This window comes from Homo sapiens, chromosome 4, assembly GCF_000001405.40.
Source record: "Homo sapiens chromosome 4, GRCh38.p14 Primary Assembly".
NCBI classification, from domain to species: domain Eukaryota; kingdom Metazoa; phylum Chordata; class Mammalia; order Primates; family Hominidae; genus Homo; species Homo sapiens.
The window spans coordinates 65,452,415-65,480,203 of NC_000004.12; the positions used below are offsets into that span (position 1 = coordinate 65,452,415).

The following is a 27,789-nucleotide window of genomic DNA, read 5'->3' on the forward strand; positions in this document are numbered from 1 at the left end:
ATGCTGAGATATGTTAGAAAACTTATTTTGTAGTGTTCTTTAAGTTACATAAACACACACACTCCAGCGAAGGACAGAGAAGGGTAGTTACTCTAAGTAAACTTGTGATGGAGACTGATTATTGCTAATAAATAAATAAATAAATTAGCTAGCTCAGCTAAAATACCAAAAAAAAAAAAAAGACAAACATCCTATGGCTGTTGGAATGCATAAATTAAAAATCAGAAAGTAAATGTGTAAACATTCACTTAAAGCATAGTGTCAGTTTCCTTGAATGCAAGCAAATAAACTAAAATGTGTAATGTTTGTCCTTAAATTTGAAAGAACTAAAGCAGAAATGATAAGGAAATTAGTGTATTCAAAAGATTCATAGCTAAAAACAGTTTCTGCACTGTATTAAATATGTATTCTATTTAGCATCTTTAACACTCTAGGTACAATAACCTAAACTTAATTGAAAAAAGAAGACGAAGAAGAAAAATCCTCCAAAAAGAAGAAATTGTGCTGACTTGGTCAGCATTCTTTTTCTTTCCTATGTTTTCCATTTTCACTGAGTAAAAGTTTCTAGGAACTTCTTTCTTCAATCTTTGTCCATATAAACAATGGTTTTAGTGACTCAGAATTATTATAAGTTAAATGCACACAGTTTGGCAAATATTTGCTTCCATGGATAATCATTTTTTGATACTCGTAATGTAAGCTGTTTTTCTCTTGAATTTTACTATACCAGCACACATAAAAAGTTATACCTACTTAAAAATCCTAATTAAAATATTCAATAAAAATAATATGCTCTTGTTTATGTGTAGAAATTATAATGGAAAGTTAACACAAATCTACATAAATCACTAAATATTTCACTAAGCAATACATTTTGTAAACATGTTTTTACAATCTGTCACGTCTTTTTTTCCAAGATATGTGAAAATAAATTAAGGTTAAGATTTTTAATTCTCCAACTCTTTAGGTCAATGAAACTGCCGTGGGCCACAGGTTGGACCAGCTTGCTCTAAAACAATAATTGGTCACAGAGAGAACCAAGGAAAGACAGTCTCCCAATAAACAGAAACACCTGAAATTGGTGATCAGCAGCATCCTGATAAGATCTCAGGAGCTGGGTAAGTGGACTTAAGCACGTTCATTAAGAAGCAAAGTAGCAGAGTTCATCTGGTATATGACCTTCTAGGGACATTCAGCTGGTAAGGGAAGAATGTCTCAAGTAAGCATGTGTACAACTCCAGTAAACACACCGCACATGCTCCCCCGACCAGTGCTAGTAGTCCACTGTGCTTGTGGATAGCCCACCCCAAGGGAAGAATCAGGGGAGAAGGGATGCAAGACCCTGGAAGCATGCCAACACATAAAACCCTAAGTCAAATGTCAAACCAGGCAGTTGATCTGTCAAGTCACCCACTTTTCCCTCTTTCAAGTGTAGTTTATTTTCTTTCATTCCTGCCCTAAATCTTGCCTAGGTCTCTCCTTCTGCCTTATGCTGCCTCGGTTGAATTCTTTCTTCTGAGAAGGCAAGAATTGAGTTTGCTGCAGACCCCTACGGATTTGCTGCCACTAATAATATGAATTGTGGGCCAGGCACGGTGGCTCACGCCTGTAATTCCAACACTTTGAGAGGCCAAGGCGGGCGGATCACCTGAGGTTGGGAGTTCGAAACCAGCCTGACCAATGTGGAAAAACCCCGTCTCTACTAAAAATACAAAATTAGCCGGGCATGGTGGCGCATGCCTGTAATCTCAGCTACTGTGAAGGCTGAGGCAGAAGAATCGCTTGAACTCAGGAGGCGGAGGTTGCAGTGAGTCGAGTTCGTGCCATTGCACTCCAGCCTGGGCGACAAGAGCAAAACTCCATCTCTAATAATAATAAATAATAATAATAATAATAATATGAACAGTGTTGGTCCTATGCAATGGTCCTCAGCAAATATGGAAGAAAGGTAATTTATTCAATGAAAAATCTTTTTAGTTGTGTACAAAAAGTATAGATCAGAGTCAGATGCCTACTAGACAAATGTCAATGCATGAAAAAGGCTATGACTTGTTCTATTTAAAGGCAAAGAATAGTGTAAATGCTGTAAGGTAACTTTGCCACAGAGATTTCCATAGATTCAACAGCTTCTAGAATGTACACATTATACATGTGAGTCTATCAGATAATGTAACTGCTCAAAATTGCATCCTGACACTTAGAGTTTTTTGAGAAAGAGTCCATCTGCTTCCACAAATTTCAAAGTGGATGAAACCAGTATGTTTTGGAAATTGATGCCTATTATAACTTAAATTGACCTGACAGAACAGCAAAAGTTCAGTTTAAAACTTTAAAGCACAGACTGCAAGTACTATTTAGTGGAAGTGCATTCAAAATTGCAAACTTTATCCTTTCTTAGTCATGCTGAAGAAATGGGTTATGAATAGCCTTTTGGGAATTAACTTATTTTTAAGTAGAGAGATGCCTATGTTAGTCCTCTTTTCTTTCTCACCTCTGACTCTCTCTCTTTCTCTTTCATACAAATACACATTTTATGAAAATTATATTTCTGCTTGGCACGGTGGCTCACGCCTGTAATCCCAGCACTTTGGGAGGCCGAGGCGGGCAGATCACAAGGTCAGGAGATCGAGACCATGGTGAAACCCTGTCTCTACTAAAAATACAAAAAATTAGCTGGGAGCAGTGGCGGGCGCCTGGAGTCCCAGCTACTTGGGAGGCTGAGGCAGGAGAATGACGTGAACCTGGGAGGCAGAGCTTGCAGTGAGCCAAGATTGTGCCACTGCACTCCAGCCTGGGAGACAGAGAGAGACTCCGTCTCAAAAAGTAAAATAAAATAAAATAAAAATAAATAAATAAAAATACAAAACTAAAAAATGAAAATTATGTTTCTTTCTTCTTGTTAGTGGGAAATCACCTAAATTTTAGTTTGCACATCAATTTACTAGAGTGCACACAAGCAAACAGCTGGACATCAGGCCTGTCCTTTCTTATTCCTTGCTAGATGTTCTCTCTAGTTCTTGAGAATACTTATCATAAATATTGATCATTTCTTAGTGGTTGCTAGAAGTAACTTCTCATAAGGAACGCTGATCTGCTTACAACTCAGGTAATTAGTGTAGATTTATTTTAACACTGTGAGGAAGCAATATCAATGCATTCATAAAATCATTGATACATGCAAGAGAAACAGTAAACAATATTCTGAACTTTGTTTCTATTTCCTTTTTTAACTTATTAGAAAATAATTTTATTTCAGTAACATTACTATGTAATGACAAATGTGACACACATAAAGAAAAAAAGCAGATGGTACAATTTAGTGCACTGTCATTGACATTTAACTCTTAACAATCACTGCTCAATCTAACCTTCATTGGCCCAGACTTGATTAGAATGAATTTAAATACAAATGCCCTGAACACATAGGATCGGTTTTCTTAAATTCTGAAGAGTTATTAACATTGTTAAAACATTATGCCCATAGTAAGAACAAAAACTGAGTCCCAAACTCGTTTCTTACACATTTTATAGTTGTACATCTTTATTAACTAAATTTGAAATATTTTTCCCCTTCTGTTCAAGTAAACATCAGATTTCAGAAGCCATTCACAAGTACATTATTTTTTCTACTTAAATGGACAGTAGAAGATCCCAGAAGGAAAGTTGTGGGGAGAGAGAAACTTGTTAAAAGAACTTTGAATCCGTATGAATAACTAGTTCGCAAATTTGCTTGAAAATGGGTGCATTCAGAATGAATGCCCTAACAGTGCTCTGCTAGCCTGTCAGTGGAAGAAAAAGGAATTTCTATTGCAGAGGCAGATCTCTACTGTATTTGCCTTCCTTGGCCGATTTCACAGCATTAATTACTGCAGTTTTATTTCTGAACCCTTCTTTACTCTGTTCTTCGATTTTTTTTTTTTCTTCACAGGAGTGGAAGAAAAGGAAACAGTAGTATAATCTGCCATATTCTAAGCATTCTAAGCATAATGTAGAAGCTGATCTATTGTCTCCAATTTGTTAAAGACCAATAAGAAGAAAAACTATGCACTTTGTTTTAGAATCATTGATGAAATGTTAATGCTGATTAGTGTGTCACAACAAGACTGTCGTATTTTTAACCAATCTCACATGCTGCTTAATTTATGATAGGAGTGCTTGAAGGAAGCCAATTAATTAATGAATCTTGGAAATGTTTAATTAAATTTCTAATCAACATAAAAGGTGCATGAGAACACAATTATTTTAGTGAAATATTAATCTATCAAAGGATATCAGTTGTAAGTGGAAAAATCATACAAAATAAACATATACACACACACACACACACATACACATTGCTATTAGCTGATTTGTAATATGTCACCTATCCACTTTCCCAGAGGTGATTAGTAATACATGAAAATTTTCTTTCTGTTTCAATCCATGGAAGTAAGTTGATATACTTGAATTCATCCTTTCATTCCTTTCTATCTAATTAAAGTGCTTAGTGCCTGAAAATTCATACCTCCAAGAGTTTATTTGCTATCTCATTGTAGCAATGAACATTATATGCATTATAAATATCATTGTTTTATTAGGGTATAATGCAAATCTGCATAACTAAAAAGACAGAAATGATAACCTGAGAACTGACCTCCTTATACTTAAAAGCAGGAAAAAAAAATAGACTTTTAATAAGCTACACATACTTTCAATTGTGAACTGAAATAAACATACTGCGTTAATTCCTCCAGTAAGAATGAGTGGGAGAAAAGGAACATTGAGCTGCACAGGAAGAGACTGCATACTGTTTTTGTTAATGGGATTTAGTTCAGTGAAGGCTGGCTGGGTTATTTACAGTCTTCTACTTAGGCTTCTAGTGACTTCTGTGACTTTAGCAAGTTACTTAAACTTGGTGTCCTCGCCTGTTAACTGGGGAGACACTATACCTACATCATAGGATCATTATAAGCATTGAATGATTTGATTGATAAAAACCAACTATAAGTTATACCTTAAATAAGTAATAAGCAAACTATAAGTTATACATTAAATAAGTAATTCCTTTTCCCCTATTCTTCCACTATGGAACATATTTCTCTTTAATTTGAGAATATATTATATTTATGTGAACCAGTATTTGCTAAGAATTGCTTAAAGGTATACATCTCAGATGAGGTGTCAAGAACTCAAAATTTGAAATAAATACTTTTTCTATATATATAATTATTTCTATACATATTATCTTTTTCTAAATTATTACTTTTTGGTCAATGAAGAGTCGTGTAGCATAACACAGTAGTTTTCTAAGCACAGCTAAGCACCTACTACACCAGAATCAACAAGTAAAATTATTCGGAGTGTAGATATTATGGCTAATGCTGTTTCTGTTATATCAGGTGGCTGATTTTGCAATGCCAATATAACATATAAATGTATGCTACTTAGATTTATTTTTAAAGATTGCTTAAGAATAACTTTTTTTCCTAGCTAACAGGGTGAAACCCCGTCTCCACTAAAAATTCAAAAAGTTAGCCGGACTTGGTGACTGGCGCCTGTAGTTCCAGCTACTCGGGAGGCTGAGGCAGGAGAATCGCTTGAACCCGAGAGGCGGAACTTGCAGTGAGCCGAGATTACACCACTGCACTCCAGCCTGGGTGACAGAGCGACACTCCATCCCAAAAAAAAAAAAAAAAAAAAAAAAAGAGTACCTTTTTTGAAGGAAGTTTTTATACTAAGATAATTGACAATATACATATTCAGTGTAAGATATTTTTGCATTTCAAATTATTCTTTGCACTTATTTTATCTCAAAAATGTGTGAAGCAAAATTTAGTTTCATACGAAGAAATTGTAATGGCTCTTCAATGCATAGAGAATTAAATGAAATATTTATATTCTAGTATTGAAGCCCTCCAAAATCTTATATCAATTTACCTTTCCAAACATATCATCCCTTATACAGCATGAACTAGACCATTCTAAATCTTTTATGCATCTTTGACAATGCTACTTCTCTGCCTTTACTCAATATGTTTCCATAACTCAACATGCTCTTTTCCATCTTAGCATGTCCAAATCCTACACACAATTGATGACCTTATTCAACTGTCTCCTTAATGAAATCTTTTGAGTGTCTCATCTGGAAATAATCACTGTTTCTTCTTAATGTTCACATTAATTTATTAATCTTCCTAATAAACCTACTTTTAACTTTATCTTAGAGTTACTTGTATCCATATGTAATTCCCATATTAAACTGTACACTCATTGAAGACAGAAATTTTGATTCATTTCTATTTTTCAAGTATTACCTACAATAGTACCTTTCTAATAGTAGGTATTCAAAATTATTATATAGTACATGTATAAATAGAAACAAGCCTACAGTAAATATTACCTGTTATTAATTTGTTCAATAATTTAGTGAACCGTTCATTTACAAGATTTATTTATGCTCCATTTGGCTCCATTTAGAATTTGAGATGAATATCGTCATTAAGAAGGCAAGTTAACATATTCATTAATATAAATCAAAATATCTTTCTCTTTTATTAATTTTAAGTGCTTAGTCACACAGTGATGATGCATGTGAATTTTCACACCTGTTATTTTTTGAGAGTAAGAATCAATTGCATTTTCACATTCTAACACCTGCAAACAAGATAAGCAAGAAATGCATAAGCAGAAATCTGAATTATTATGTTTCTTTCCTCTGAAGTTTAAACTGGGGCCAATTTGTGTTACACACATTCAAGGGATGTAAGGACCATACTCAATACTTAGTTTAGTTCCTAATTCAAATAGGATATTGAAATAAAGTAAGGTAAGTAACACATCTTAATAATGGGCTTCAGTTTAAATTTTCTGATCTGGAACTGGCAAATTATTGTATCTCATCAATAACATGGAAACTAAAGGAAAACAAAACAACAATTTCAAAAGTTAATCCAGCTTTATGGGAAACTACTTTTCCATTATTTATCACAATCTATTTCAGTTGAGATAAATAATGCACAAATCACTGTTCTTTTTGAGGATTTTAATATATCTTAGTATATATATAAATACTTTCATTTACTATTGCATATGGAAAGTAGGAATAATTAGTTGAATAAAAGGCTATCCCTTTTACTGTGTCAGTGGTCTGAACTGTAACTTGACATACACAGATTTACCTCTAAGGCATGATTACTGTCAATTTTTCTTCTCTTTTCTCACATACTGAAACTCATACCAAGAACATATATAGAGTAATAATATACATGTGTTTATTAAAGCTATTTACCATTACAAAATTTTCCAAACATGGAAACAATAAAATGAAACCTAAATTTTTATATTTATGCATTTCAGTCTCTCTTTTGTTAGAATGGAAATGAAACATTAAAGCCAATGAGTCAATATGGGAGACAGTAATTTTTATAAAGGAAATCTAAAAAAGAAGATAGTTAAAATCAGCAAATGAAAGAAAAGCTAATGAAAAATATTGATTGATTATAAAATATTCAGTTATCCAATAACTGTTTAGTACATTAAAAAGGAGAAAAATGTGTACTAGTGCTAATGCTGGGTATAGGGAACCCTATTCAAACCATATTTTGAAATAATCTACCCTTAATATTAAATTAGCTTTGAATCTCGACGTGAGAAACTGGAAAATAATGCATTCTTGACCTTTCTTTCCAATTTGATTTCTGTTGTAATCTAATGTAAAGATAATTAAGGACACTTTTATTTTAAAATTATATATACACATATATGTACATGTATTCTGCTGATGGAAATATATATAGGAAATTTAAATATATATAGGGAACAGAATTATGTTAATGTATGTAGAATTTTAATATTATATAGTCTCAAGTTTCAAAACCATATTTACATTACTATATATTCATATTTCTAAATGTGAATTTAACTGTCTGAATGAAGATAGCTAGCCATAGTTTGAATCTCAACTTCACCTTCAACTATACTATTAAAACATTATTTAGTTTCCTTATGTCTCAGATTTTTAGCTTTGAATGAAGACTCTACATAGGAATACTAGATAATTAAATGAGAAGTTAATGTAAATAACTTAGTTTTGTGCCTGGAATATACTAAATACTCAGTAACTATTATTTATAAGTAATGACTTTTTAAGGTTAACATCCATAAAAAGTAAAAAAGTCAAAAGTATATTTAAATATTTTATATAATATATAGGCATTTAAAATATAGCAATATTACTCATTGTCTTAGTAGATAGGCAGGTAGATAAAAATTAGAGACTTCTAAGTGTTCACAGTAGTTTTTTCAATTGATTTGTATGTATTTGACATTTGGGAATTAATTAGCCTAAAGAAGTGTTTCTCTCATTGAAACTGTAATGGTGAAAAGGATTTGTATGTGTGTTGGTATATGCTTCAATGTACGTGTGTGTTTGAGGTGAATGAGGGGAGATAGAGAATTATTTTATACCACAGTGATTTTTATTATAGATAGTAGTTTAATGATTTTTCTTACAGATTTTATATTTAATCACTGCACAATAATTTAATGTGGTTAATCATCAAATTGCTATTAGTGTCATGGATTGTATGTGTGATAAAATAACCATAACACTGGAAATAAACAAAAATTTACTATAAATATTCCACATGATCACTACACTTTCATTTAAATCATAAATACCCTCATAATTACATACCATAACACTAAATTTTAACATTTTGAAATCTGTCTTCACCTAACAACAAATCAGCAATTAGCAATAAGAGAGTTATTGTAAATGTACACCTAGCAACCAAGACTAAACTTAAAGTCTAAAAACTAGACTTGCTTGTGATGAAGACTTTAAGTGAAGAACAGATCCAGTCACTATCTGTGATTTAATATTATGTTTCCATTTGGCTATACAATCTTGATGTTCTTGTTTGTTTTATTTTTATGCAGTTTATTCACATGTATTAAAAGGATGTCACTGTAAATCACTGAAAAACAGAAAATTTATATTACTGTAAATCTAAATATGTAATGTTGCCGTTCTCTTAAAGGACTTCCAATTTGCTCTAACATATTTTCGATATACAAATTTACTACCATGTAACAGGTAAACTAATAATTTCCTCAGCATTATCTTTTGCTATTTTAGAAAGTATTTATTTTACTATATTCTTCATACAAAAATTCCATGAAAACATATCACAAAAGAGCAGATTAATGGAGGACGTAGAAAAAGAAAGACTATTAATCAAGCTATCTAGCTTATAAAGCTGTAAGTCATGACTTTCATAAAAGATATATAAACCTTGCAACCTCAGAAGTAAAATGACACATTTAATGGGTACAGCAAAACTTCATTAACAGCTACAAAAATGGGGCACATTTGAAACCATGATGTATCCAAAGAGCTGTTTCTTAAGCTTTGAAATATAGACATGAAAATATTGTGAAATATAAAAAGGAGAAAAATGAGAACAAAAGCTAATGAGGAAATATTATCATAAAAGAAACCCAGGTCAAGTCTACAGAGATACAATAACAGAATATAATTGATATTGAATCATTATGCAGTTAACCAAGCAGAACATGCCGTCTACTGGAGAAATCAAGCATATGCACACATTAGATTATAAAGAGATAGTAGACAGATTGATAGGCAGATAGATAGAATAGAATATTAATACATAATTAATACAGGGCTATTGGAGAAGTGTAGTCTTTTACATTTTAGGAATCGTCTGTGTTGATTTCCGAATTATCATCTTTTGAGCACTAATGTGGTCACGGGACACTTCTCAAGCCAAATTCTTTAGGTTCAAATTCTGAATTCTTTACCTACTAGCTAAATACAAGTTTCTTAGATTATTTATATATTGTCTTTCCCCTCAGTAAGAAGAACAATTATAAAAATGATAGAATAATTTTTATTTTATTCTCCAAGTATTGCTAGGCATTTTGCAAGTATACCATGATATTGACTATTTATTTACCAACTGCTGTAATGAAACTGCTCCCAAATTTGATGACAGAAAAACCACTGTTTATTCTCACAATTCTAAACATTGATGGGGGGGTCTTCTCCTGGTCTTGACTAGATTCATCCACAGGTCTGTATTCATCTCAAAGACTAGCTGGGCACTAGGCTTGTCCAAGATAGCCTCCTTCAGGAGTCTGGGGCTTCAGTGGGGGAGGCTAGAGTGACCAGATGACCTGGTCAGGGCACTCCCTCTCTCCACATGCTCTCTCATCTTCCAGGAAGCCAGAAGAAACTTTTTCAGATAGTGGTGGTCTCAACGTTCCAAGAAGGTGGAAGAGGAAGCCACAGATCTTTAGAGGCATTAGCAATAGAATTTATACATCCCTTCTACAACACTCCATTAAACAAATAAAGTGACAAGGCCAGCCCAAATTCAGGGTTGGAGAAACAGACTCTAACCTCATGATGAAAGACCTTTAAAGGTATCTGGCCATATTTTTATACCCTACTATATGCATTATTTTTGTTCTGGGAACTGGATACTTAAACAGAAATCCCTATCTCTGAATAAAAGCAGAATGACATAAACTCTTTACTTAGGTCTCTAAAGAAATTTATGATTAACAAATGCAATCTTCAGAATATAACTTAAGCTTAATGGCCATGATCTATAAATTCTGTTTAAAGTATTTTTCAAAAAGGTAAGTATGTAGTACACTGACATAAGTATTGGTCTATATTAAAACTGTATCAATAACATCTTTTTTTAAAGTGGAAAATATCTCTCTACTACTTTGCCACTTACAATATATGTGTTCCTGTGTGATGCAAGTTTGTTCATTTCATATCCAAGCTGGCTTTTTATTTGCAAAGCCGTTCAGCACAGATGACTCTTTAATTGGGTATTTAATAGTGACATTCACAAGGTAAAATCTTATGAAGTATATCTCTTATAAGGTTATATTAGGCATGGAATTTGTGGTTTCTATGATATCAGTGAAGTAAATCATTTTGTTCAAACTGGATTTTAGTTACTTAAAATGTTCCAGTCATGTGTTTTAGAAAATGATTCTACAAAAGTTATGAGAAAGATCACTACTGTTAATACAGGCTCTTCAAAGTAATAGAAAACTCTTTAAATCAGCATTGTACTGTTATAAGAGAATAAACCCAAAGATATCAACAAAGTAAAATCTGAAGATCACTAAATAGGGATTCCAAACCACTCTATTACAGTATCGCACCTTGCAGTAATTGTGTTGCCTTTAACAAGTACCTCATTTTCTACTGTCCTCATTTAAGTATAAGTTCATTCAGATGTCAAAAAAAATATTGTCTACAAGGTGAGTCATACAGAAATCATAGTTTTTCTCTTGTCATGTAGTTATTTTTTTGCACAATATTTCTCTTGCCATGACTGGGAATACATTTGACATTTAATATTTTGCCAGAAAATGAATGCTTATATACATAGAGATCCTGAGATAGGGAAATAATTTTTTAAAACTATAGTCAAAACTCTAGTGTAGACCTCAAAGCTGATTTAGTAATTTGGTAAAAATGTGTCCTGACTCTTAAAATCTATCTAAAAATTTTATTTTCAATAATTAAGACTAAGCATTTCTTCTATTTGTCCTACACTAAAAAATAAATAAATAAATATTAAGACTACAACAAGAGGAAATTTTTTTTTGGAGACCTCAAAGCCTTGTCTTTCATCCATTCAAAGAAGAACAAAAAACTGTAGTACCAGAGTAACATGAAATATAAAAAGAAACTCCAAGCATGTACAAAATAAAGTAATAACTTTATTTTGGGAAGTGTAGGAGTTCACAAATTTGAATTGACCCTCAATTTTACTCATTATAAATAACTAGGCTTCAAAACCCATCAAAGTTCCCATATGTAGCTTGTTTTCTACAAATTCTTTTTTCTATTTGGAACCACTTTAAAATTACTGACGTGCCTACAAAATTTAAATAAAACAACAAAAAGAAGAAGATATGTGATACTTGGCTCAGGAGATTGATAAGGCAACACAAAGGAGAAGCAGGCACTTTTATTTTAAGGCACTCAATTAACCTACTTTAATCTAAATAGATAATAATTTACACAATATTATAAAGAACCAGAAAATCAAACGTTGTGATAGTTTTGCCTAACAGTAATTTTGATGTAACAACTTGTAAAATAATTACTGGTAAGATTGAATAATGTACACATGATAAAGCACATTTATTAAAATCATTTTAAAAATAAATTAAGCAGGACTATTTAAAACATAGACATGATGACCAAGGGGGAATGTTGACAAAATTTTAATAATTCTATCTGGAAAACAAAGTTGCTTTAGGGTGACTGAAATGTTAGAAATAATTAGTATTAGTATTTAGAATAAATCAGTTTCAATTGATAAAATTAAAAATACGAATTTGGCTATTAGATTAGATACTGAAGTTTTTTCTCATTTTGGAATTAATAGCATTTAAATGAATTACATTCATTTATTTATTCATTTAAAATATTTATAAATACCTATTATATGTTAAAACAGTACTAATCACTAACAATTCAGTCATTAACAAAATATGGATAATTTCTGTTCTCAAAGAGCTTATAGCATAGTAGAAGAGACAAATAAGAACATTACAACAAAGTTATGTAAGAGTGATGAAATTTCCAGAAAATTGAAATTTCCAGAAAATTGAAATAAGACATCTATCTCAGATTTAATTATTCAAAGACAGCTTCCCGAAAGGAGTCATATTAGCTGGTAATAGAAATTGAGTAAGAGAAGCCAGGAGCGGTGGCTCACACCTGTAATCCTAGCACTTTGGGAGGCAGAAGCAGGCGGTTCACAGGGTCAGGAGTTCAAGACCAGCCTGGTCAAATAGTGAAACCCCGTCTCTACTAACAATACAAAAAATTAGCCGGGCGTGGTCGTGGGCACCTGTAATCCCAGGTACTAGGTAGGAGAATCGCTTGAACCCAGGAGGCAGAAGTTGCAGTGAGCCGAGATCGTGCCATTGCACTCCAGCCTGGGCAACAGGGTGAGACTCCATCCCCCCACCCCTCTAAAGAAAGAAAGAAAGAAAGAAAAGAAAGAAAAAGAAAGAAAGAAAGAAAGAAAGAAAGAAAGAAAGAAAGAAAGAAAGAAAGAAAGAAAGAAAAGAAAGGAAAGGAAGGAAAGGAAGGAAAGGAAGGAAAGGAAGGAAAGGAAGGAAAGGAAAGAAAGGAAGGAAAGGAAGAAAGAAATTGAGTAAGAGCTCACCAAACAAAAAGCGGAAATAATAGGAATATGACAGATGTTGCCCATACGGGTTCCCCTGCTGTTGGACTATGTAGTAGTAGTATCTTTCAATATGAGATAGCAGATAATTTAAGAATGAGGAAAAGATCCCCGCTTTAGCTCCATAAAAGAGCAAAATATAACCTGGAATTTCCTAAGAAAAAAATACCCATTTGTAAAATGATACAGAATCTATAATGTCATACATTCACTCGTTCACTCATTTTTTTGAAAATATCAAGTATTTTCTGTGTGTACACACAATTCTTGGCATTTGACGATACTTCAGTAAACAAATTATACTATCCTGCCCTAATAGAACTTACATTCTCACACTTTCAAGGACAAACAAAAAAAGACATAAAAATTAAGTAAATCATATAGTGTTAGAGGGTAATATGTGCTGTGACAAGAATATCGTTAAATGGGATAGGAAAGGTTAGGGTGAGAGAGGTTGTATGTGTGCATGTGTGTGGGCATGTGTGCCCACGTGTGTACACATATGCACATAACTTTAAATAGGATGGTCTGAAAACACTTTTGAGAATGTTTGAATGAAAGGTAACAATAATGCCAAAGTTGGGAGAAATGTGGATATTTTAGAAAAGATGGTTCTCGGCAGACATAAAAACAAGCATAGAAGTCCTGAGACTGAAACAGTCCTGGAAAGTTCAATGATTGGCAAAAAAGGCAAATGTACCTGGTAAAGTGAGTGAGTGAGAAAGCATTGGGAGACGAGGTCAGTCAAATAAATGATAAAGTTCCAGAACCTGTAGGACTATGTCTCCCATTCTGAGTAAGATGGCGAGTCATTAGAGGGTTTTGAGGAGGGAAGTATCGTCATTTGACACATTTTAAAGAGATCCCTGTGGCTGCTGTATTAAAAATAAACTGTAGAGATCCAAGAGAGAAAATAAGGACATTCACCAGGGGACTGTTGCAATCTAGTTATGACATAATGGTGGTTTGGATCAAGGTGTTAGCAATGGAATGGATGACAAACTACTGAATTACAGCTATATTTAGGTGTAGAATAGTTAGAATTCACTGGATGATTAGATGTGGGATGTGAGGAGAAAAAGCATCAAAAGTGTTTCCAAGATTACCGAAGCTCTTAAACATTACCTGGGAATATCTGATTGTAAGCATAGACTCCTCATCCATGTGGCTCCTTTTCTTTAAGTTTTTATAGGCCGAAAGTCCTGTTATTAAAGTCAGATACTTAGGATGGAGGCATCCCTTCTGTAGCATTTCCTTTTCGTTCTACACAAGCCACCCCACTGCACTTGAGCATATAGTTGTCCCACATGAATTTCCCACATCTGGGAACAGAAAGCAAGAAATGAGACACAGAAAAAGTGATAGCCCCTTAATTACCATTGGGACAAAAGAAGTGGTTATTTAAAAATACACAAGAAAGATGGCAATAAAGCAGAATGAAACCTGACTCTTTTATTTGTCTTCCAATGGACCACCTCCATAACAAACCAAAGTACAAAGAGATTACTTTGTTTTCTACTCAGCAGAATGAGCAAGGAAAAAAGATAGGGTGCCAGCCAGTCAGAATGACATATATAAAGACCAGAAAGCAAAAGAGAGTTTGTCTGCTCAGAGAATAAACCAGTCATTATGATGATTAAAGGTATTCCAACAGTGGTAGATTTATTGCAAAACTGGCCCCAATTCTCCACCCCTGTCAATTTCTAGGCCATTTGTCATGTGATTTTTGTAGCTTCTCCCATTAAGGGTGGAATACTTGGATTTCCCACCATTTGAATCTGAACTGATCTTTTGACTAATTACAGCCAGTAGAAAGTAGTGCATGTAATGACATGCTATTTCTCTTAGTAACTTGACTTTACAAGAGACAAGCCTGAGCCAGCCTGCTGCAGGTTGAAAGACCATAAGGAGAAAAATTCAGTTATCTCAACGAAAGCCATCCTAAATCAGTCAGTGTGCTGATCTTCAGATGCCTAAGAGAGTCTAGATCACTTCCACAGAGCCATTGTTGTAGGCATAATAATGGCCCTCCAAAGACGTCTGTTTACTAATTCACAGAACATCTGGATATGTAACATTACATGACAAATGGGAATTAAAGTTGCAGATAGAATAAAGTTTGCTAATTAGCAGACAGGAAAATTACCCTGAATTATCTGGGTGGGCCCAATGTAATAACAAGGGTAAAAAGAAGTGAAGAGGGGGGCTGAAGATGAGGTCAGGGCGAAGCAATGTAAACATTTGAGCCATCATTGCTAGCTTTGAAGGTGGAAGAAGAGGACCAGCAGCCAAATGCATCTTTCCTCTAGAACCTAGAAAGGATAGTAAATGAATTATGCCCTAGAACCTCCGAAGAGAAACACAGTCCTGCTGACACCTCGATTTTAGTCAGAGAAGATACTACTGGACTTCCAACTTACAGAATTTATGATAATAAATCCATGTTGTTTAAGCCACAAAGTATGTGGTAATTTGTTACAGCAGCCATAGGGAATAAATGTAGTTACCTATCCAACCTGCATCTGGCTGTATATACATATTTATCAAGTAAGCCAGCTGAGGAAACATGGAACACCTAATAGATATATAGACACATGAGCAAAAATAAATGGTTATTGTTTTAGGTCACTGAGCTTTTGAGATGGTTTGTTACATATCACATAGCCAAGCATGCTTTTGGAATAAAATGTCACAATATATATTTTTTCAAAGTGAGAAAGATTCTAGGGCAGAACTTTGAGTAATAGAAATCTATAAATTGATGAGAAATATAAAATAATTTATAAAATAAACTGGAAAAATAGCCAGGGGGGAGATATATATCATACACACATATGGTATGTATACACACACACACACCTACACATATATACAGACACACACCTTTATATATATATATAATATATATATTATATATTATATATATATATGTAAAATATATATAATATATATATTATATATATTATATATATATGTAAAATATATATAACATATATACATATATATGTAAAATATATATAACATATATACATATATATATAAAATATATATATATATAAAACAAGGTTTGGATGTTCCAGAAGCAAAGGTTATGATTCATGAAGACAGCTTAAGTACTAATAGACAAGCTTTCACAAAACGCTTATGAACTAACACAAAATTACACAAAAATACTGCATGTGGGCAAGAAAACATGCTAAGATTTAATCCCTAAATCCATTCCATTTACTCTCCATTTTGTCACAGTTACAAAGTTTTGATGGGATTGACTCTACATCTGGGGCCCTGTGGAGTTCCATGGGGAAGTCTGTGGGGAAGGAGCCAGCTTCATCACAGTGATAGGTTTTGTGGTAAGCACTATCTTAAACGGGCCCTTGAGTGTGAAGTCTAGGACTTTTAGCTGATGAACGGAGGAAGAGAAGTTTCCTTTCCTTCTGGATGATGTGGTATGCATATGTGAAGTCTGTAATTGCTCCAGCCATTTTGCTATTATGGTAGAACTTCAGCTTGAGGTAAAGTTGGTGAAGAAGAAGGTCAAGTTCTGCAAATTTCAGAAATGAAGCCAGACCCATAATCAAAGTGTTCCTGGAACTGGTGATTTTCAATGATAAAATATATTCTCTGTATTGTTTAAGTACATTCTGGTTAAATTTATGCTACTCGCAGCTTCTAGACTGCTGTAGGGTCAGAAAACTATGAATTTAAATCTCTGGCCTATTAACTAGGGTGCGAAATAGGTATTCAAGTTATGTATTCCAAATGATTAGTATGAGGTGTAAAATGATGATGAGTAATGCTCTTTATTGTTTGTATTTTAGAAAGTATTAGTAAAAGGTGATTTATATAGGGCAATTAAAAACAAAAACAATGTTCAAAGTAGAAGAAAGCTGAGACACCTTTAGCATCTCAGAGCAAAAGGGCAGAGTTGGACGCCAGCAAGGAGTATAAGGGCCACTTAATAGCTCTTTGGAAAGAGGATCAGATTCAGGAGAAAAACACAGATTTTGTCTCTGTTTCTAATTTAACACAAAAAAATTAGATATTTCTGTAATAAATGTACTTAACATATCCATATAAAATTTAGGACAATTTGGCATGTTGTAATACATTTTTTGCTATAATCATCATCATTATCAGCATAAAACAAATTTAAAGAATATGTAAGAATTTTAAGATGAATCTGGATTAAATATCTTAAAAATCTGTTCACTTAGTAAGAAAAAACATGTATACACTACTGTGTGCGCACAAAAATTGTTAGAAGATAAATAAAATAAAAGTTCATAGCCACCTCCCCCAGAAAAAGCCAAAATAGCCATTAGGCTTTAAAAAAGAAAAGAAAATCAAAGGAGAGTAGATTGCTATTAAACCAGAGTCTAGTTGAACCATTAATGTGATACCCTAACAAAATAAACAAGAGTTATTTTCCATGACATTCATGGTTAGTCTTTATAATAAAGTTAATACAATGTTGAGCCCAGGAACTTCATCTCATGTGGCAGTAACTGAAGAAGTCTGTGAAGAGTTTTCTTTTTCTTTCTTTGTTTTTTTTTTTTTTCTTGAGACAGAGTCTCGCTCTGTCACCCAGGCTGGAGTGCAGTGGCATGATCTTGGCTCACTGCAACCTCTGCCTCCAGGTTCAAGTGATTATCCCACCTCAGCCTCCCGAGTAGCTGGGATTACAGGTGTGTGCCACCATGCCTGGCTAATTTCTATATTTTTACTAGAGACAGGATTTTACCATGTTGTCCAGGCTAGTCTGAAACTCCTGGCCTCAAGTGATCCATCTGCCTCAGCCACCCAAAGTACTGGCATTACACGTGTGAACCACCACACCTGGTGAAGATTTTCCTAAATATATAATAGTAGAACATGTATTTTATCTGCTGTCTTGTAATAACCATGTACATGAATACCATCTCTCTCTATTAAAGATAGCACAGTGACATATAGAGTTGGATATTTTTCTTTAAAGGCGATAAAGTAATGGTAAGGCAGAAATAATGATGAAGCAAGATAAGATAATGAAAAATTCTTTAGGAAGCAAAGAATACAGTAAGTCTACATGAAATTTAAGGTCACTATCAATTATGTTACATATGCGACTTCACAGTTTTGAAGAACAAGCCACTAATATTTGCAGTCCTGTTAAAGCAAACTAAATATGGCCTGAGAAGCACTGTGTACTTCTATATTTGAGCCCTTGTGGATGAACTGTAACCTAACTTAATAGATAGACAATATTGAAACCCTAAATTAGGAGTATGTGCCTATAACAATATCTGAATTTTGGCAAATCCCAGCAGCCATACACTGCTGTATTCAAACTGTGTTCAAATAAGGCAAACACTGAGCAGAACCAATCCAGCTGTTTCTGTACCTCATGTCCAATATCTATACATCAGTTCCTTTCTTTGTCTATACATTTGTTCTGATCATGAGGCATCCTTGGAGTCCCTCTGAATCTGCTGTGATTCTGGGGGCTGCCCGATTTGCAAATTGTTCATTGCTCAATTACACTCCTTTAAATTTAATTTGGATGAAGTTTTTCTTTTAACAGTCCTAACTCCTAGAAAAACAGACATAAATCTCATAAACAAGGGCATATCTACCTTCTTTCTGATGGATACCAATGCCAACATCATATTGGGAAATGTTTAAAATTATTCAGTCTTTGAAACCATTTATTCTCATAAAATTTAATTGTCTAAAATGGATGAAAACAAAAATAAATCACTGTTACCACCCATATCACTAACAACTTGAAAATCTTAATAATTATTTTTATGTCAACTTTTATTTAGGTTCATGTGGTATATGTTCAGGTTTGTTGCATGGGTATTGTATTAGTCTGTTTTTACACTTCTATAAAGATACTACCTGAGACTGGGTGATTCATAAACAAAAGAGGCTTAATTGACTTACAGTTCCACATGGCTGGGAAGGTCTCAGGAAACTTAAAATCATAGTGGAAAGGAAGCAGATTTGTCTTGCATGGTGGCAGGTGACAGAGAGAGAGAGCAAGAGCAGGGAAAACTGCTTATAAAACCAACATATCTCATGATAGATTTTTCATCACTCACTATCACAAGAAAGCATGGAGGAAACTGCCCCCATGATCCAATCACCTCCCACCTGCTCTCTCCTTTGACATGTAGGGATTATGGGGATTATAATTGAAGATGAGATTTCGGTGGGAACACAGAGCCAAACCATATCATTCCTTCCCTGGCCCCTCCCAAATCTAATGTCCTCACTTTTCAAAACACAATCATGCCTTCTCAACAGTCCCCCCAAATCTTAACTCATTACACCAAATTAACCAGCGATAACCCAAAAGTGCATAGTCCAAAGTCTCATCTGAGACAAGACAAGTCCCTTCCACCTAGGAGGCTGTAAAATCAAAAGCTAGTTAGTTCCTCCCAAGATACAATGGGGATACAGGCATTGGATACATGCTCTCATTCCAAATGGGAGAAATTGACCGAACGAAGGGGCCACAGGTCCCAGGCATGTCTGAAATCCAGCAGGGCAGTCATCAAATCTTAAAGCTACAAAATCATCTCCTTGAGTCCCTGTCTCACATCTGGAGCACACTGATGCCAAAGGTGGGCTCTTATAGCTTTGGGAAGCTCCTTCATGGGTTGGCATTGAGTGCCTCTGGCTTTTCCAGATACAGGGTGCAAATTGTTGGTGGATCTACCATTCTGGGGTCTGAAGTGGCCCTCTTCTCATAGATCCACTAGCCAGTTCCCCAGTGGGGACACTGTGTGGGTGCTCCGACCCCACATTTCCCTTCTGAGGTTTTCCATGAGGGTTCTGCCCTTACAGCAGACTTCTGCCTGGATATCTAGAAGTTTCCATACATCCTCTGAAATCTAGGTTCCCAAACCTCAATTCTTGACTTCTGTGCACCTGCAGGCCCACCAGCACGTGGAAGCCGCTAAGGCTTGGGGCTTGCACCCTCTGAAGCAATGGTGCAAGCTGTACCTTGGCACCTTTTAGCCACAGCTGGAGCTGGAGCAGCTGGGACATAGGACACCAAGTGCCACAGTTGCACAGAGCAGGGGCCCCTGGGCCTGGCCCACAAAACCTGGCCCACAAAACCTGGCCCTTCTCTTCACAAGCCAGGAGACTTAGGAGAGAAGGGCTGCTCCAAATTCTCTGACAGGCCCTGGACACATTTTCCCCACTGTCTTTGCAATTAACATCGAGTTCCTTGTTACTATGCAAATTTATGCAGCCGGCTTGAATTTCTCCCGAGAAAATGGGTTTTTCTTTTCTATCACATCATCAGGCTGCAAATTTTCCAAACTTTTATGCTCTGCTTCCCTTTTAAACATAAATTCCAGTTTCAGATCATCTCTCTCAAGTTCAAAGTTCCACAGATATCTAGGGCAGAGGCAAAATGCCACCAATCTCTTTGCTAAAGCATAGCAAGAATGACCTTTTCTCCAGTTCCCAACAAGGTCCTCATCTCCATCTGTGACCACCTCATACTGGACTTCATTGTCCATATCACTATCAGCATTTTGGTCAAAAAACATTCAAGTCTCTAGGAAGTTCCAAGCTTCCCTACATCTTACCTTCGTCTTCTGAGCCCTTCAAACGATGCCAACCTCTGCCTGTTACCCAGGTCCAAAGTTACTTTCACATTTTCAGGTATCCTTATAGAGGTACCCCGCTCTCTGAAGTACCAATTTCCTTTATTAAACCATTCTCACACTTCTATAAAGATACTACCCAAGAGTGGGTAATGTATAAACAAAGGAGGTTTAATTGACTCACAGTTCTTCATAGCTGGGAGGCCTCAGGAAAGTTACAATTTTGGCAGAAGAAGAAACAGACACATCTTAAACGGTGACAGGCAAAACAGAGAGAGAGCAAGTGCAGGAAAAACTGCCTGATAAAACCATTGGATCTCATGAGAACTCACTCAATATCACAAGAACAACATGGGGGAAACTGGCCCCATGATACAATCACCTCCCACCTGGTCTCTCCCTTGACACATGGGGATTATGGGGATTACAATTGAAGATGAGATTTATGTGGGGACACAGATCCAAACCATATCACTTATATTATGTAATGCTGAGGTTTAGGGTACAAATGATCCCGTAGTGAACAAACATCACCCAAGTAGTGATCATAGTACCCGACAGGTAGTTTTTGACACCCTTTTCTCCCTTTCCCATTAGTAGTCCTCATTACTCTTTCAATGTTTTGTAAGGGCTTTTTTTTTTTGTCTGAAATAGAAATATTTCCTTTAATATCTATAGCATATTGAGGATTAAGTACATGTATAAGAAATGAATTCTTTTTACACTTGGACACAGGAAGGGGGACATCACACACCGGGGCCTGTTGTGGGGTGGGGGGAGAGGGGAGGGATAGCATTAGGAGATATACCTAATGCTAAATGACGAGTTAATGGGTGCAGCACACCAACATGGCACATGTATACATATGTAACAAACCTGCACATTGTGCACATGTACCCTAGAACTTAAAGTATAACAATAATAATAAAGAAATGAATTCTTTTTAATATGAATATACTGTAGATGACAGAAAAAATAACTGAAGATTAATAATTCATTAGATAATGAGAGTTTTCATCTTCAAACGTCATTTACTATTTTATTAGTGAAGAAATAAAGAGTATTTAAAAAATAAACACAAGCTCTATAAATCATATACATTAAATAGGCAGATACAACCAAAGCAAATAAAATTCACTGTTAGAATAATGTTATATTTATATTTTGTTCATACCACAAGTCTAGAGGAAACTATTTACTGAGTTATAATGTAAGCATCAGTTTGCAGAACAGGTCATATCCTCAGGCCTTCTAGGCTTGAAGAGTCAATAAACTATCCTCTATTTTCTTACTAATGGAGGAAAATTCGAAAATGTAAGATCAAAAAGCCACCATTCAAAGTATGTTTTGTCTAATCAAAAACATTTCACATCTTCAAAAAACCTCCTCAAGCTAGATGCTTGTTCTGATAAAGAAGATATTGGTGTTTTGCAGCCAAACTACAAAATAGCTAAGTTGCTTTGACTATTTCAGTAATGTATCCAATGAACGGTTAATTATTAATAAAATCAAATGGAATAAATAAAAATGCTCCCAAAAGTCAATCTTAAAATATTTCTTTACTCATTTCATTTTATGTTAATATATCATTTAACAATAGGTCTTCATCAATAAAGATCGATTATGCTGGCATTGAGACTCCCCAAACAACTCACGACCTTTTAAATAGACATAAGAGCTGTTGCAAAATGGTTTGTCATCTATTTTTAATAATTGCATTTCCATACCATGACTAAGTGGATTTGAGTAAATGCTTTCACAGATGTGTACATTTGATAAAGGAGGCAAAATAGAGACTAAAAAAGATAGCGTAAACAAGTCAATCTATATTGTCACTCAAAGGTAATAGATTTGATGCTATTACTATTGAGTTCAATGCCCAACTGCCATTCATTCATTTCTGTTTTATTTTATTAGCCTTTATTATTCAATTTTTTAATTCTTCAGAGGGGGAATAGAATACTCTAAAGACGATGCATGCTTTTGACTAGCTTAATATCTTTAAAAATGTTCAATTGAGTATAACGAATGCAGAAGGTGCTGAATAAATACTTCATGTGTGAATGCATGGCAATCAATTTCATAAAATCACATGAACAAGTTATTTCAACATGCTGCATAAAAAATCCTTCTTTCCTCTAAGTGAACTTTGTTTAGAATCTAATAAAGGACTCATGCATATGCTTGATTTAAACATAACTTTGCCTCTCTGGGTTCAGTGTTATACTACATCTACACAGCACACTAAGAAGATGTATATGATTTCAACCACTGGGAAGGCTTTAAGAACTGTGTTCCCTAGGAATAGTAATAAAGGGGAGTGAAACCTCAGCATGAGGTTTTAAGAAAATTGATAATCTATGCATATCAATTTACAATATGCATTTTTAACAAATAAATTCATAGCATGTATGCCAATGAGAAGAATGATTGAACAGTTCAATAACTGAGCTGCTCTGATTATGAGCTAAGCCACACGAATGTTTGATGAATTTCTCAGTTAATAGATTGTTGACCACGTTTACATTGAATAGCAAATCTGTTTGCAACCAGATTTGACACGAAATAGTAGAGTTTAAAACTAGTTTCTAGGTGAGCAGTGGGCAGAATAGAGCTCACAGGTGAGACAGAAAGAAGATAGCATTAACAAAATCATTGCTGGTGCAAAAATAGACTATCAGCAGGTATTTTGTACAGAGCATTTGGGCAAACTGACATCAAACAACCCTGATTAAGGGTGTCACCATTTCCCTAGAGAAAAGAGATAGAAAATAAATATCAGAACTTCCTACAAATGTAATTTTTTTTCAGAATGTCAGACAAACACTCCCTGCATCAAAATCACTGAGAGAGAGAGAGAGAGAGAGAGAGAGAGTGTGTGTGTGTGTGTGTGTGTGTGTGTGTGTTAAAATATGCAGATTATTGGCCCCTACATTGTATATACTAAATCATAAATTCAGGGCATGGAGTCCATGAAAATGCATTGTAACAAACAGACAGGTAATTCTTAAAACCACTAAAGATTGAAAATACTGTGAATTGCCATTAAATAACACAATACACAAAATTTATCTCTAGAATGGGTTCAGTCACTTTCAATGGATCCTTTGTCATGATTTTAGTTGTCTTCCATGGAACACTACACAGCCACAAAAAAAACAAAATCATGTCTTTTGCAGCAATATGAATGTAGGTGGAGGCCATTTTCCTAAGCAAATTAATGCGGAACAGAAAACCTAATACCCATGTTCTCACTTATAAGTGGAAGCCAAACATTGGGAACTCATTGACATAAAGGTGGCAACAATAGACACTGGAGTCTAACAGAGCACGGAGTGAGAGGAGGGATAAAGGGGTGAAAAAATAACTTTTAGGTAGTATGCTCACTATCTCAATGACAGGATCATTCGTATCCCAAACCTCAGCCTCATGCAATCTACCCATGGAGCAATAATTAATTAACTAATTAATTAATTTTAAAATATAGTGTCTAAAGAAGAAAGATTAACTAAGTAGGCTAAGACCAGCTAAGCAGGTAACCTTAAGCTATAATGCCTTATTTCAGGGTTCTGGAAAAAATCTGAACCTATCTATTAATTACAATTAGTGTACTATGTCTGGATCCTTAATAATAAAAAAGAAAACATCAAGCATAAACAACAAAAAATTGATGTAAAATTATTTGAAAAATTTTCAAAAGTTTAAAACATATTATTTACCATCACTACCAGACATTGAAATTATAACACTGATTTGAAGAACAGGAAAACCATTGAACCCATCATTTATGAACTATTTTAACAATCACGAGTGGTAAGAACTGTTGTGCTCCTAAGAAAAGATTCCAGAAAAATAGACAACAGAACAAATTGTTATAGCACCTGTGCTTCGAGTTACCTTAGAAAGCCATGTTCAAACTGGAGAGCAGAGAAAGCTTTTCTCAAGAAAGCAGCAATTTAAGTGAATTTGAAAACTGAGCTATCTAGGACAATGATATAAGAAAATAGATTTTAGGTAGAGAAAATAGCATGTGCAATTTTTTTGTCATGATTCAGAGCATTCTGGCTCTAGTATAAGAATTGGTTTAGATTTCTATTCCCTCACTTACTAGATCTGTGACCTTGGGGGAATCACTTCATGTTTTTTGTTTGTTTTTTTGTTTGCTTGTTTGTTTTTTGAGACAGAGTCTCACTCTGTCGCCCAGGCTTGAGTGCAGTGGCGAGATCTAGGCTCAGTGAAACCTCTGCCTCCCGGGTTTAAGTGATTCTCCTGCCTCAGGCTCCCAAGTAGCTGGGATTACAGGTGTGCACCACCACGCTCAGGTAATTTTTGTATTTTTAGTAGAGTCAGGGGTTTCACCATCTTTGCCAGGATGGTCTCGATCTCTTGACCTCATGATCACCCCTGCCTCGGCCTCCCAAAGTGCTGAGATTATAGGAGTGAGCCACCGTGCCCAGCCCACTTCATGTTCTTAAACTTCAGTTCCTTCATCCCAAAAATGGGAATAATATTTTGTCAAGAGGATATTGCTAGTATCAAATAAGGAAATTCAAATAAATTTCTTTGCAGCACACAATTAGTGCTGAAACATGCTAGCCATCATGTCTCTGACATCACTATAGATAGAAGGGAGAAAGAGAAGGAACAGAAGGCCCTGACGTGCTTTTTTGGAAATGAGGTGAGTCTCTGGCAAGACTCTAAAGTCATTGAACAAAATATGAATTTTGATGACTTCTAAAAATATTCTATCCCAACCATAATCGTTATTGAATAAATCAGAGATGAATTATAGACATATTAATTGGATTAGAATCCCATCTTTGAACTGTTTTCCAAACAGCAAACGCACAAGGTAACAAGCACAGAACTTGAGTGTTGCTGAAGACAAATTTCAATATTTCAATATAGACGGGCAGCTTTAATTGGCAAAATGAAAAGATTTTTGTTGGCAGCCATAGTCAGAACACTAATCTGGTCACAGAAGCATCAGTGTGAGGCCAATATAGATATATTCATGACATGTAATGAAACAAAACATTCATCTCATATCTGTCCTTAGAAACTTCAATGATTTATCAAATTAATATCCATCCACACATTAAAATGATAAGTTAACAAAATTTGTACATTTTCAGTTTATGTTTTGATGAAAATCAAATTACAAATCTGTTTTCTATATACAATATATTTCCCTCCATTTGCTCTTAGTTTGATACTGTTATGCTCTTTTTTTTCTAAAACAGGGTCTTCCTCTGTTGCACAGGCCAGAATGCAGTGGCACAACTTTGGCTCACTCCAACTTCCCCCTCCTGAGTTCAAGTGATTCTCATGCCTCAGCCTCCTGAGTAGCAGGGATTACAAGTGTGCACCACCACATCCAGCTAATTTTTGTATTTTTAGTAGAGATGGGGTTCCGCCATGCTGGCCAGGCTGGTCTCAAACTCCTGGCCTCAAGTGTTCTGCCCACCGAGGCCTCCCAAAGTGCTAGGATTGTAAGTGTGAGCCAAGGGACCCGGCTTTGACCCTGTTAATACTATTGTTTCTTTATGTTATTGTTCTGGATATTTTATCAAAATTAGAAGAACTTCAAGATTAATATAAGCTCAATATTTTAAGAAATCATTAAAAATATAGTTCCCATTAGAAAAGGAATTTTATTGGTTTACTCCTGCAAGCTTGAAGCAGTTGTCTTTTGTTATCTGTAGAATCATGGTCCTACACATTATTTTTTGCTTTTAAATATTTATCCTCTTTCCATTTTACTTTACCAATGAGTCTGTCTATATAATATTCATGAAGTCTAAAACCTATTTTTTCCATAATTTATTCCATGGATTCATGCTACTGAGTAGATTATTGAAGAGTTTCTTAAATAATACTATAGTAACATTTATTTACACCTTACTACATGCCAAGCATTAAACTAATTGTTTTGTATATTTAGCTCATTTGATTGTTGTAATCATTGTATGTCACAGATACCATTTATTTCCACTTTACATGTGAAAAACCTGAGGCCCTGTGATATTTACGTAATTTACTCAAATCAAAAAGCTAGTTAGTAGAAGAGATAGGATGGAAACCAGAAAGTCCAGAGATTTAACCCATACACTAATCTGCTGTTCTATGTACTAGATGCAAGCAAACAGAATTTATTCTGTTTAAATTTCTTCTGTTTAAATGTATTTCTTCTGAAATAAATCACATTTCTTGGTGAAAAAAATAGAACTATATTAGGTACCTTGTATAGGGAAATGGGGAAAGGACTAAAAATGTAATGAAACTAGTGTTATTGTTTTTGTTTCCCTTCTCATATTTGAGAAAACAATTAAGGAAACATTGTGTATCCTCAATTAAAATGACTGTATCAGGGCTTTACACTGAATACAGAATGTCCACAAATTAGGCAGTAAGAGAACCTGGGTCTCTGTTACTGGGTGAGTTGATATGAAAAGTGCAGTGAACATGGATATATGATGCACATTAAATGGCCATAAGCAACATGTATGGATTTATAAAACATGATTATGTAGAAAAAATTATATACAATAAGCTATACAACCATTAAATAAAAAACATATGCGTATGATTTTAAATAAATATATTCATAATAATACTTTATGAAAAACAAACAACATATTAAAATGGTTGCTCTTTAGTGTAGATAAATGGCAAGCAGATTTGGGATAAAAATGAAAGTAGGTACATAAGAAAATATATAACCCAAGAGAGGGTCCTGTTTGGTTCAAGATGGAAATGTGCCATGAATTGAGGCACATTATTAACTCAGCCCTCAACACATGAGATACAAACAAACAAACAAAAAACACAAGAATACAGGAAAAATAACAATAAAGGAGACAAGGAAAGAAGGAAAGGAAGAGAGAAAGGATGAGAGAGGGAGAGAGGATGAACAAACTTCAACTAATTGTAAAACCAGATTTTCTCTA

General features: G+C 34.6%; 1 protein-coding gene across 13 annotated transcripts in view; it reads right to left on the reverse strand.

The window, feature by feature from the left end:
- EPHA5 (EPH receptor A5) overlaps nt 1-27,789 on the reverse strand; it is a 350,923-nt gene that overhangs the window by 132,848 nt on the left and 190,286 nt on the right. The gene's annotated exons all lie outside the window — the stretch shown is intronic.